At 49.4% G+C, this 12,980-nt stretch overlaps 2 annotated features.

The window, feature by feature from the left end:
• Nucleotides 2,815–3,314: an enhancer, noted in NCBI's record as "H3K4me1 hESC enhancer chr5:133236775-133237274 (GRCh37/hg19 assembly coordinates)". NCBI's record gives its function as "activates a minimal SCP1, AML or CMV promoter by ChIP-STARR-seq in naive H9 embryonic stem cells {active_cell/tissue: H9 hESC(naive)}" and the evidence as "EXISTENCE:reporter gene assay evidence [ECO:0000049][PMID:30033119]".
• Nucleotides 4,228–4,728: an enhancer, noted in NCBI's record as "H3K4me1 hESC enhancer chr5:133235361-133235861 (GRCh37/hg19 assembly coordinates)". NCBI's record gives its function as "activates a minimal SCP1, AML or CMV promoter by ChIP-STARR-seq in primed H9 embryonic stem cells {active_cell/tissue: H9 hESC(primed)}" and the evidence as "EXISTENCE:reporter gene assay evidence [ECO:0000049][PMID:30033119]".

Genomic DNA, 12,980 nt, shown 5'->3' with positions numbered 1-12,980 from the left:
ATTATCTGTAGTCAGTTTGGAAATCTTTCACTTGGGCTCTGGACCCCAGAGAGGCACCCAAGAGATATTCACTCACTCTTCACTCATTTGTTCAGCAAGTGTATCCTGAGTATGTTCTGTGAGGCAAATGTGAAGCCTCCTCTGATGGAGCTCAGCCTCTGTTCATCACCTGAGCACATGTGAATTTATAGTGGTGGTAAATGCCAAGACAGAGGCACACACGAGGTGCTGGGAGAGCCTAGCGTGGAGGTCGACTCAGTCATTGAAGTCAGGAAAGGCTCCCCGGAGGAAGTGGCGAGGGAGCTGAGCTCTGAAGATGAGGAGGAGTAAGCTAGGTGGGAGAAGTGAGGGCAGTATCAGGAAAGAGACCCTGGAGCAGAGAAGGTCAGCCGAGGAGGCCTTCTTGAGACCACCTGACCGTAGCTGCATCTGGCTTCTACTGGAGTCTGCAAGGGCTGTGGAGAGGGGCTGTCTCCTCCTGACCCTCTCCCTTTCTATCTCTGCTTCCAGCAACCTGGGTGCACAGTGGGTGTGCAGCAAGCCTTTGCTGGGTTGAATTCAAGAACAGTTCTTTGTTTTTCTAGCAACCTTCTTAAGCCCCCAAGGTTTATGTAGCTACTTTGAGGTCACAGTACAGCTCAGCATCACCTGTCTGGTCGAGGCTGGCAGAGCTGACAAGGTGACTACATTCTGTCTTTTTTTTTTTTTTTTTGAGACGGAGTCTCACTCTGTCGCCCAGGCTGGAGTGCAGTGGCACGATTTGGCTCACTACAAGCTCCACCTCCCGGGTTTACTTACGTCATCTGCCTCAGCCTCCTGAGTAGCTGGGACTACAGGCGCCCGCCACCAAGCCAGCTAATTTTTTTGTATTTTCAGTAGAGATGGGGTTTCACTGTGGTAGCCAGGATGGTCTCGATCTCCTGACCTCATGATCCACCCGCCTCGGCCTCCCAAAGTGCTGGGATTACAGGCGTGAGCCACCGCGCCTGGCCTACATTCTGTCTTTCAGTCACCTTGGTGGCAAATGCCCACACTATCTCTGCCCATCCCTGTGGATTTCAAATATGCTTTTTTTCCCAAGGTAATAATATGTATATTTAAAAAATAAATTTTATTGCACATATATGAGGTTTACAACACGATGCCATGGGATACATACGGGTAGTAAAATGGTTACTATAGTGAAGCAGATTAACAAATCTATAGTGAAGCGGATTAACAAATCTCACATAGTTGCTTATATTGGTGACAAGAGTAGCTAAAATCTGCTTATCAAATACATTCTTGCCATTAATGTTTTAAGGAATGTATTTGTTTGCCTGCACAAAAAATGAGGAAATTGTTTGCGTGCTTTGGGAGCAGGGGCACCATCCTACTTGATGTATTGAGAAGCTGGGCCTGAGCATTTAAACCGCTCCTTTCTGCCTGTGGCCTCCTGGTGGATCTTGACTTCTCACCCTTTTGTGTGTTGGCAGATGGCACTGCTGTCAGGTCTGTGGGTGTCTAACGCGCTCACTGTGGCTGGGTCTGGCCTGACGAGGCTCCAGGAGGTGGCCATTGGGCGCATAGGAGCTACCATCTGGCAGAAGGCTTGGGGGATGCTGCTGAACATGGCGGGTGGGAGACAGTGATAAGATGAAGTCGCTCCAGGCAGCACAAAAGCCTCTGTCCCCTGGGGCCCTCTGGAAGGCCACTGTCAGACCTGGAGGCTGCAGGCCCTCCTCCAGTCTGAATGCCTCCGTCAGCATGTGGTGCCTCCTCTTCTTCCATATCTTAACCCCTGCACTCTTGTCATGGGCGTGGAGCCAGCTTGCTCTGACGTTATCCTGGGAGGGGTTGCCAGGGCTCTAGCTTTACTCTTGAGTGTGGGTTCTAGTGGGGTCCTAGCAACTTCTTTTTCTTTTCTTTTCTTTTCTTTTCTTTTCTTTTTTTGAGACTGAGTTTCCCTCTGTCACCCAGGCTGGAGTGCAGTGGTGTGATCTCGGCTCACTGCAACCTCTGCCTCCTGGGTTCAAGCGATTCTCCTGCCTCAGCCTCCTGAGTAGCTGGGATTACAGGCACCTGCCACTACACTCAACTAATTTTTGTATTTTTAGTAGAGATGGGGTTTCACCGTGTTAGCCAGGGTGGTCTCCAACTCCTGACCTCAAGTTATCCACCCGTCTCGGCCTCCCAAAGTTCTGGGATTACAGGCGTGAGCCACCGTGCCTGGCCCTTAGCAACTTCATGTTACAGCTGGACCTGTCACCTCCCCTATTATTTCTGAGGCTGTACTTACCTCTGTTTATGGAAACATCCAACCTGCTAAACCAACCTCCAGTAGGCAGCCTCTCTGGAGGGAGAAGCCCTCTCAAATGCTGCCAGTCCAGGACTGCCTGGGAGACCTAGGACATGAGCCCAGAGGGGTCTCCAGATCTCAAAGGGCCAGAACTTGGCATTAGAGATGTGGCTAAAGAGATTATGACTGATATTACTGTTATAATCATCTAATTATTGTGGAACAATTAGAGTGTAATTAGGTGGATAAATGAATTGGCAGCACTGATTTACCACATTGATGACACATTGTGACACACTGATACTTTCTGAAGAGTTTTCTCAACTGGGCTCTCATGTATTTCCTTCTAAAATGATCCTATGACATCAGGTCCTGCTAATCTCATTTGCCAGAGGCGGAAATTGAGGCCCAGAGAGGCTGTTGACTTGCCCAGGTTTTCCCATCAGGCCTGGCAGAGCTGTGAGGCCCTGACGTGCCACAGCCCCCTGTCCAAGACCTTAGGTGCACAGCCTGAGAAACCAGATCTAACACAGATAAGGAAGTTTGGACTCTTGCCTCCCACCCTCCAATTATAAAAAGTCACAGAGACTGGCTGCTGGTGCTGCCTTTGCTTCACCACAACCACTGTGAGAACTGGCCTGAGTTGCCTGTGACTTCTGAGGTCTTGTGTATTCCACGATCCACAGGCAGATTTCCCCAGGACGAGAGAAGGATATCCAATTGCTCATCAGGGAAGGTGCTAGGTCTCCCAGCCAGACGCCCTCAGAGGCCGGTGTCAAGTCTCCCTCACCTCTGTGATGTGAAGTCAGCTCGTTCATGACCTGGGCAGGCAGAGGGTCAGAGGGGCAGATGGAGCACTCCTGGCCAGATGAAGGTAAGCCTTGGGGACACCACAGGAGAAAAGCAGGGACCCCGGGAGGGCCAAACACACCCATCCTCAAAGAGGAAACACATGCGTGGAGTGGCCCAGACTCACGCACTCTTGCTGGAGGCCGCATGTGTGATGCCTGTCCTGGAAGGGCCTGCTGGAAATGGAGCTCCCCCCATCAGTATGCTCAGAGCCAAGTCCTCCGAGCTCCTGCTATCCTGCCTGCCCTGCCCAATGCATTATTAATGAGGCAGCCTTCATTTCCAGTTTTTGGGTAGCTAATTTGTTCCTACAATCATGATTTCAAATATCACATGAATAATTCAGAAAATGATTTTACTGTAGTTAGATAAGCCTGTTAGCTGTCACATATCTGAATAAATTAGCGTCTCCATCCCATGGGGCATGGAGGGGCGGTGCCGGCCACGCAGCAGGGGCCCTAGCGCCGGCCACCACAGCACTCAGAACTTTACTTTGAGACCAAGGAGGCCTCGGGGCCAAGGGAGTAATAGGCACCGTAATTTGTCACGGAGGAGCTTGGTCACTGCTGAGAGTTGGTTGGTCACAAATGGCAATTAGTCTCCCCCTCCCAGATCTGGATTAGAGATACACGTGGTTGCTTGCCAAGCCCTAAGCAATGACCCCTCCAGCTCAGAAATGCAGACAAGTGTCCTTCCTCTGCATGTGAAGCAGCCAGCTCTGCCATGTGGCAGTTAGACATAGAAAGACCCCCTCCCCACAGCCATGTACTCTCTTCAGGAAGACAGGGCCTAAGAAATTCACCTGATTTTTTTTTTTTTTTTTTTTTTTTTTTTTTGTGGTGGTGGTGGTAGTGGTGGGGAAGGGAAGGCACTGTCTCTGTCCCTTGCTAATTGTGTTATATTAAGGAATTTGCTTCCCATCTCAGCCTCAGTTTCTTCATCTGTAAATTCAGCACAATATTCCCAGGACTGCCTCATCCACTGGGTTTTTGTGAGAGATGAGAATGAAATAATGGACGTGCAAAACTTTGCAAATCACAGAGTGCTGCAGAGATAAAAGGCTTACTCTGTGACTGCCTCCTTCAAGAAAGGGACTTCTCTGCATTCCTCCTCAATAAATACCCGAGAAAAGGCAATTCTGGCCCCTCTCCCTGATACTCATTCTTGCATTTGAGAACTTACGTGGTCCCTCATTTATGGAGCAGTCACTCACCATGGCCCGGCACCTGCCTTTGACCTCCGTCTCTTGCATCCGCAGGAGATCTCTGGCTGGGACAAGAGGTCACCTGTGTCAGTGGCAGTAATACTTCTGACTCTTGGCATAGAGCTGACTCTGGTGTAACCATATGCCTGAGGAGGTTCACTGGTGAAGACAGAGTGTCAGGGTGCCTATAGGCTCCATCAGAGAGCAGCCTGAGAACCACAGGCCAGAGGAAAAGGGTTGTGGTCTGGTGGGATTTCCACCTGTGCCTGGCATCACGCTGGCCACAGCACATGCTCACCAAACGCCTGCAGAAGGCATGGCTCAGTGACACATTCCTACTCAGGGGAAGGAGGCCCTGTCCACCTGTGGATTCCAGCTGGAGCACAGCTTAAGGCTGCAGATGGGAGCAGCCAGGCCGGGGCCTCTGAGGTGGATGTGGGATCCACAGCTGGGGCTATTGGCTGAGGTCAGGATGAGATCTGGGGTCCTGCTCAGGGGAGGGGAGAAAGAAAGTACCAGGGAGGGCAGCGAGGACAGGAGAGAAGAGCAGAGGCCAGAGTACAGGGACAAAGATGAGATGCCAGGGAGAGGCGGGGTGTGGGGGTGGCCAAGAGCACCACAGCGCAGGAGGTTAATAAGGCAGGCGCTTCTTTCAGAAGAGGGTCAATCCTGGTGCCACCTCTGGGCAAGTGGCATGAACTTTCTAGACTTCAGTTTTCTCAAAGGCAAGGTGAAGATGATAACACTCATCTCTTGGCACTGTCGTATGGGTTACATGAAGTGAGGCCCTGAAAGTAGGTGGCACAGTGCCTGGCATGCAGGGAGGGCTCAGTCAACATCAACTCCCACCACTGCCGTTATCATGACCATTGCACCTATTGTGATCCTCACTGGTTTCCAGGAACATCTCAGCTGCCCCTGATTGCAGAACTTTCCCTGCAGTCCTAGCCAGGCAGGCAATAAGACCTGGAGATAGGAGGTGTGCACACTGCCTACCCTCTAACCGACTTCCCCAGAGGCTCCCAAGTGAGCATCTTGTCTGGTACCGCCCACTACTCGCTGCCTGGGAGTCCAGAAACTCCTTGTTGTCTCAGGTTTTCCCTCACTCTTTTTCTCTGGGTGGGACCCTCAGGCCCAGCCTTTATGCCCCCAGGCATGCTTGGAGGAGGTGGCCGGATGACATCCTTAGAGACACTTGGCAAACTTAGCTGAGAGATCAGCCACCGAAGCACCTGGTGCTGGCCGAGTGGGTGGAGAATGTCCTGGGGGAGGCAGTGGAAGGGCAGAGTGGTCCTCTCTTTTGGGGGAGCTTGAGGACAGAGTTGGGAGACCAGACCCACCCAGGGAAGAGGGGTCAGAGTGCTACATGAGGCCCTGGTGGAGGGAGGAGTCGGTGAGACTGTGCAGAAAGGGGGATGGCTGGGCTGAGCTTCTGGATGCAAGCAGGGCTGCTGAGCAAGCCATTTATCAGGATGGTGGTGACAGGTGTTTAAAAGGAAAAATATTTGCATGTGTATGCTTTTTTCAAAATAATTAATATTCAAATTAGTGTTGGAGATCCAAATCGCTAAAGTGTAACTAGGCAGAAAACTTCTCTGATAGCTTGTAATTTTCAGACCATTCCACCGTTCCCACTGCATTCCCCTCCCCGCACCTCACCTACTTCTCACAACTGGGCTTCCACAGACTTGTCCTGGAATGGCAGCGGCTCCTGGGACTCAATTCCTGAGTCTTGCCAAACTAAGGGCACCTGACCCTCCACAGCTTCCCTGTGTCCAGCCAGAGCCCGTGAGAAGCCATGTCCTGACACACTCCCCTAAGGTGCCCTTCTGCACACATCGCCCTCCTGAGTGCCTTAGAAAGGTGGCTTTCTAAGGCACCGCTGCAAGCACACCAAGCCCTGCTCTGGTGACATCAGTGTTCCTTCCTTGCTTGCAGAACCAAGTTCGAGCTCCTTTTTCTGGAAATGTTCAACAGGCCCCAAACTAGCTTTCCAACACTATAACCTCTGCCCTTCTCTGCCAGGCCCCCATGGCTGCTGGGCATGAATCCATTTCCCACTCCGTGCTGTTGCTTTGCTGTGGCTGCAGCTGCAGTGCTTTCGCTTCACTCACAGCATCGAAGTTCATCAGGGTCCATGTCCCCTTAAGTGAATGTGATCCTGTTTTAGAGACTAGAATACTAATCTGGAAGGAGGTAATCTCAATAGATTTCTCAATAATGTCAATACTTTTATTTCTCAGGTTTAGAGCAGAATCTACACATGGCATTCCAGCTTAGAGACCGCACCTAATCCTATAAGGCATGCATGGAGGAAGGGTGTTCATAGCAGCATTGAGTTCATAACTTTTGGCAGCCCTTATGCCCCATCTATGAGAGCTTTTGTCTCAGGAGGTTTCACTGAGCATGTGCCCCGTGAACCAGCTGCTGGCAGACTGATACTACCGGCCTGTCACATGTTCCACCCACACCTAGTCACCTGCCTCCTTATCCTTGGCTTGTCTTTTCTACACTGAGTGTTCCCCAAGGGCAGGTACAGTGTCTTAGCACTGTCCGTGTCCCCAGCATTTGCCATTCATCTACCTATTCATCCATCTATCTACCCATTTATCCACCCATCCATCTATTCACTCATCCACCCCTGCATCCACCCATGCATCCATCCATCCACCCATCCATTCACCCATCCACCTATCCATTCACCCATCCACCCATTTATCCATTAATCCACTTAGTGAACACTTAATGACTTTAAGCCCTTTCCTAAGTGCAGGTAATAGAGCAGCAGACAACCTGCCTTCCATTTCTGCCTTCAAAAAGCTCCTTGTCTTAAAGGTGAAGGCAGGAAGGCAAACAAGCAATTACCCATCAGCGTAGCCACAGGGCTGTGGGACCAGAGGAGGCACAGGCCATCATGGGGTAGGGAAGGAGCAGAGGGCAGGGGTCAGAGAAGGCCTTCCAGAGTCAGTGAAGGGTGCTCGAGAGTGGGGACTTTGGAGGAAGTTGGCCCCAGATGTAAGCCCCAGTTCTGCAAATTGAGGGACTGTGGATGAGCAGCTAACCTTTCTGAACCTCAGTCTCTTCATCTATGAACTGGAGATAACATATACCTATCTCATATGGTTATTATGAGGATTTAATGAATTAATATATGTAAATTACTCAGCATAGTGCCTGTCACTTAGCATGTGCTCAAATCTCAGCTATTAAGCTGAGACCTGAAAAGTGAGTAAGAAAGAGCCAAACAAAGCCAGAATATTCTAAGCAGTTGGACTGGCACAGGGAAGGTGCATGCCTTCTCCTGCCTCTGAGAGTGGGTGGTGGTGGCGAGGGAGGCGAGACAAGCTCAGAGCCAGTCTCTGGAGTGAACGCAGTGATGGCCTTTTCACTCAAGTGAATGCAGTGATGGTAGCTGGTTGGGGCTGAGCCAGGGAGACCTCAGGAAGGAAAGGCCTGATCAGGCGGTAGGGGGTGCCACTTCAGAGGGCTGGAGGGGATGTTCCGAGGAGGGTGACTTTGCCTCCTGGATGTCACTGGAGATAGCGAAGGAGCCAAGGCCTGGCCACATCCTTGTCTGCCTGGCATCAAAGGCCCCCAGAACTCTGCTGTTGACTTCACAGATCTGCATCCAGCCACTGGCTTCACATAGGGAGAGCAGGGCCCTTGTCACAGGTGTGACCAGGATGGAAGCACCCACATTCTTTTCCTCTCTCACCTCCTCCCTGAGCTCATCCCTGGCTGAGAGGACTTTAGTCTTTGTAGGGTCAGTTCAGCAGGCAGATGTACACTGGGAAGGCCAGAGAAACACAGGTTGGAAGCAGAAAAACTGTTGTAAGAAGGAGGAGGGGCAGAAGAGATCAGGAGTTGAGTCAGCAATCACAGCAGTTGAGTCAGCCATCACACCTGGAACCCCAAACAGTGCCACTTCCCCTAGAGCATGCTGGACTGTGGGTAAAATTCCACTTACCACATTCCCAACCATAGCACAAGAAGGTTAGAAATAAACAGAAAGTACTTTTGGGGTGCCCCACTAACGGACATTAAAAAGAATTGCCTTAAAAGATGCCTAAGCCAAGAAGAAAGTCCAGAACAAAAATCATAATTTTTTAAAAGTGTAACATATCAAAACATATGGAATATTGGCAAAAGAAAAACTGCATTATTTTAAATCCCTATGTCTATAGGAAAGATTAAACACACACACACCTTCACACAGAGTAAACTAAGTCTCTACCTTAAAGGTCTTAGAGATGTGAGAAAGAGGTCAAGAAAATTAGGAAAGCAAGCAATAATAAAGCTGAATAAACAGGATGGAAAAAATGAGTATTGATGGACAAAACCAATAATTAGGCCTTTGAAAAAATCTACAAAGCCATTAGTCCAACTGATCAAAGAACAAAAACATAAACTAATAAAACCCGAAATAAAACATGAACTGCAACAAATAATATAAAAGAGATTTGTAAGATTTGTGGAGAATATTGATTTCATTTATATGAATAAATACGTGGATGTGGAAGAATATCTGCAGAGTCCAAGTCATTGTACCTGGTGCCACTAGCACATTTGCAAAGAAAATGCATCTTCTTGCTTTGTCATTGGGTTCTGTTGTGGGTTGAATCATGTCCCCAGAAATATATGTTGAAGTCCTAGCCCCGGGCATCTGTGAATGTGGCCTTATTTGAAAATGGGGCCTTTGCAAGTATAATCAAGTTAAGATGAGGCCATCAGGGTGAACCCTAATCCAATATGACCGATGTGCTAGTAAGAAGATGGAAACTGCGCACAGACAGATGTGGGGAATGCCATGTGATGTCAGAGGCAGACATTAAAGTAATGCAGTTAAAAGCCAGCAAGAATTAACCATGAGAAGCCAAAGAGAAGTGAGGGAGGATTCCACCCAGGGTCTCAGAGGAAACATGGCCCTCCTGACACTTTGCTTTCAGACTTCTGGCCTCCAGAGCTGTACTCTCTGGAGAGTACAGAATACTCAACAGAATAATTTTCTCTTACACTCAACAGAATAAATTTCTGTTGTTTTAAGCCTCCTAACTATGATACTTTGTCATGGCATCCATAGGGAATGAATATAGGTTCCCTCCATATGTTGGCTATTAGAACACATTTGCCACATTCTTCAGGCTTATAATTTCTCTGTTCTTGGTCTGCTTGATCTGTCACTTAGAGAGGAGAACGTACAGTTAGGTGCATAGAAATGTCCATCTTTCTTGCATCTATTTTGTGGTCATGGTGTTTGAGCTGCCTATTTGTGTTGACTGTCATTATTGTTTCATTTTTTGAAAATATTCTGCTGTAACTTTGTGTATCTCACAATTCTCTTTGCTACCAAATCAACATTATCTGTTGCAATGTGACTCTTGCTTAATTTTTTTGGTATAGACAATATCAGGGTCATATTTTAGCTTTTACTACTTAGAGCTAGGGTTTGTTAGGGTTTTTATTAGCAGTTCCCTAGGCAGATATACGTGCTGATTTTGTTTTAGAATTTATTCTTAAAAATTTTCAAGAATTATTTATTGTGGAGGTATTGGGTACAGGCACAGGGGTAAGCCCTGGGGACCCTGAGGGGGACGTACTACCCTAGCTTTGCGCTCATAGACCCTGGAGCCTGAGGAAATTCTGTCAGTGGTGGATCTTTTTTTAGCAAAGAGGTCAGCTCGTGCATTTCCTGCCAGAACTGATGCAGAGAGGGAACACTCTGTCAGTGTCCATAAAGAGGTGGTGAACACTGGAGAAAAGCAGACACAGGAAAACACACAAGGGAGGCAGAAAGGAAGAGAGGCAAGAGGTGAGCAAAGAACACGAGGGCTTTGTGCTGCACAGCCACTGTCTTACGGTCCTGAAGGATGCTGCTGCACAATGTTTAGAGAAGTGTTTTCTTGCAATCAGAAGTTCAGAGGCAGTGTCCCTGGTCCTGTTCCACGGGTCAGAAGTAATTTGGACCAAGGTGGGGTTAGCGCCACAGGCAATCTTACCTTTCTCTTTCCAGCATTCTCAAGTCCCAAGTCCCTTCTTGGCTGAACCACTGTCTCTGCCCTTGGGGAGACTAAAAGCAGCTCTGATAGTTCTTTGTTCTCAAAGTTCTTTGTTTTCAAACTCCTGAGTGAGCTGGATCCCCAAACCCTCTGCTCTCATCACGACTGAGAAGTCCCTGGAAAATTGCATTCCTCTGGGACAAGACAACCAGTTTTCCTCTTTGGAGGCGGTGCCTTGTGAGCTGATGCCACATGCCTCTAACATAAGAGAGAGGGCCTCCAGTTAGAGACCATCCAGCTCAGCCAGCTCACAGGACAGATGAAGGAACTGAGGCATAGTGTGGTGAAGACCCAGTCTGAGCTCCCATGGTGAGCTGGTGGTGGGTGGCCTGACTCGCAGGCCAGGGTTCCCTTGGCCCTCTGGGTGGGCATTGGTATGGCCCTCAGAGGTCACTCAACTCTCAATACCCAAAGGGACAGCCAAGCCTGAAAGCAACCAGTGCCCTGGCTGCAGAAGGCCTTCTTCCAACCAGCACACATTCACCCCTCACTTTGATTTCCAGCTCCCATCGAGCCATTAGAGTGAGTGCATCCATCACGCCACAGCTCCTGCCCCGGAGCCTTCAAGATTTAAGAGGCCTTTGCTGAAATATGCTCTATTAATGGAAGCCATGGGTCCAAGTCCTCTACGAGCTTCTCTGGACTAGAATTTCTAACTTAGCCAAGTTTATTTATCTGGTCATCATGGCCATGACAGGGAGACCCTAAAAGTCCATAAACGAAGCACCATGGGGAGGGGGTGAGGAACTCAGAAATAAGTCACCAATCCTGGGGGCTCTGTGCTGTGTTTCTGAGGCCCAAGGATGCAGAGTGGCTCCCTCTCCCAGTCTTAGGAGCTTCATCCGGCTGGCTCATTGCAGAGGATGGTAGGACGACCCTGCATGGGGCATGTTCTGAAAGGAGCACTGGGTGAGTGGTCCATGAAGTGTTAGCTATATGGGCGAAACAGCAGCTTCCATTGCAAGAAGGATTCTTGCTCCAGGGCACACAGGCTTACCCTGTGCACCTCTGGAGGCAGCATCTTCATGCCTGCCCTGGGTCTGCCCCCAGTGGTGCCCTCTGGAGAAGCTAAGAGCTTTCCTTGCAGCATCTCACTGAAGACTCACAGCCAGCTAATAAACTGGGTGGTATTATTCCCATTTTTCAAGTCAGGTCACCCATCCAGGGTCTCAAAGCCACAAAGTGGCAGAACTGGAATTAGTACCCATGCATTTTTCACTCTAGAGTCTGTGCTGTTAAGCATCCACTGTCCTCCACTGCTCAATTGGGAGGGGTTGGCTGGAGGGGAGGCCAAGTCTTTGATCCTTTCTGATGAGTCCTGTTCTTTGAGTCCTTTCTCTATACCAGCCAGATCTGCTCAGAGGAAAGAAGATGTCTATCAAGTTCAGCTGCCCCTCAAGGCCAATAGCTTGGTGGGTTTGAGGCCAGAGGTGGGGGCTGGCTCAGTGATATGCTCCCCATCAGAGCTGCTTACCTGCAAGACTCCCATATTCCAGCTGCACTTGAACCCCAGACCCAGCCATCCTCAGAGAGCAAAGAGATGTCCCAGAGGCCAGAGCAAGGGCTCCGCTCATCTCCATCCTGATCCCTGAGGGCCATTCATGCAGTTGATTCCAGGGGCAGGGGTGGGTGGATGGCTTCCATGGCTCCTCTGCAAGCCTTCTCTCCATCTCAGCCCACTGATCAGGGATTCTTTCCAAAGATTATCCAAAACAGTGACTGTCACTCCACCCCCCCACCCCAGATACCCACAGGTGGCTTTGGGATACACCCAGGGCCTCTATTTCTATTTTTTTTATAGATGGCAAAAACCTGTGTCAGTTTTTCTTCTCTGAATTGCTGGGCAGTGATCAGGGCCCAAGGACACAGAAACCAGATGAAAGTTGCATGTTCACTCAGATAATTCACACTTGGAGAGAAGCTGCCTGTGACAGCTCTGAAACTTTGGCAAAATTCTGTAAAGGGGCAGCCTCATAGAGAATGAAAAGGGAGTCCTGTGATTTAATCCGGAGACACCTGTGTTAGTTTCTAAAACTTCATTATTCCAATTTGATGTCTCTGAATCTCCCAAAGAGCAAAAAACATCATAAATGTGGACCTTGGTTTTTTGGGCTTCTGTCATCAACCTTTTTATCCTGGGTGGGAAACTGGGAGATTTGGAATTTGCAGATCCACTGAGTATCTGCCTCAGTGTGTCTCTAAGAGACTTCTAAGCTACCTGGGCATGTAGGGTGAGGTGAGAGGTGGATTTGGGGGAGGCTGATGGCTGGTTCCTGAGCCTCCGTGTCTGGGTGGTCAAGGTGGCTCTCCCAGGGCAGGTCACCCTGCCTCCGAGCCAGGCTCCCCACCTTGCTATCTGCCCCTCCTCCGCAGCAGCTAAACACAGTCCCCAAGCCTGCCAGCCTCAGAGGGGACTGGTTCCACCTCCGCAGCTGCTGCTGCCTTCACAGACTCACACATCTGCAGTCTCCACTCCAGCAGGGCCCCAGAATGTTTGCAGCCTTGGAAATAGTATGTGCTAAAAATGCAGTGACAACAGCCACCTTTGGAGGATATTTTTAAGGGTGATAGGATCTGAGAGTCATTAGTGCCA

Source organism: Homo sapiens, chromosome 5 (genome assembly GCF_000001405.40).
Source record: "Homo sapiens chromosome 5, GRCh38.p14 Primary Assembly".
NCBI lineage: Eukaryota > Metazoa > Chordata > Mammalia > Primates > Hominidae > Homo > Homo sapiens.
This window is presented reverse-complemented; position numbering and strand designations above follow the sequence as displayed.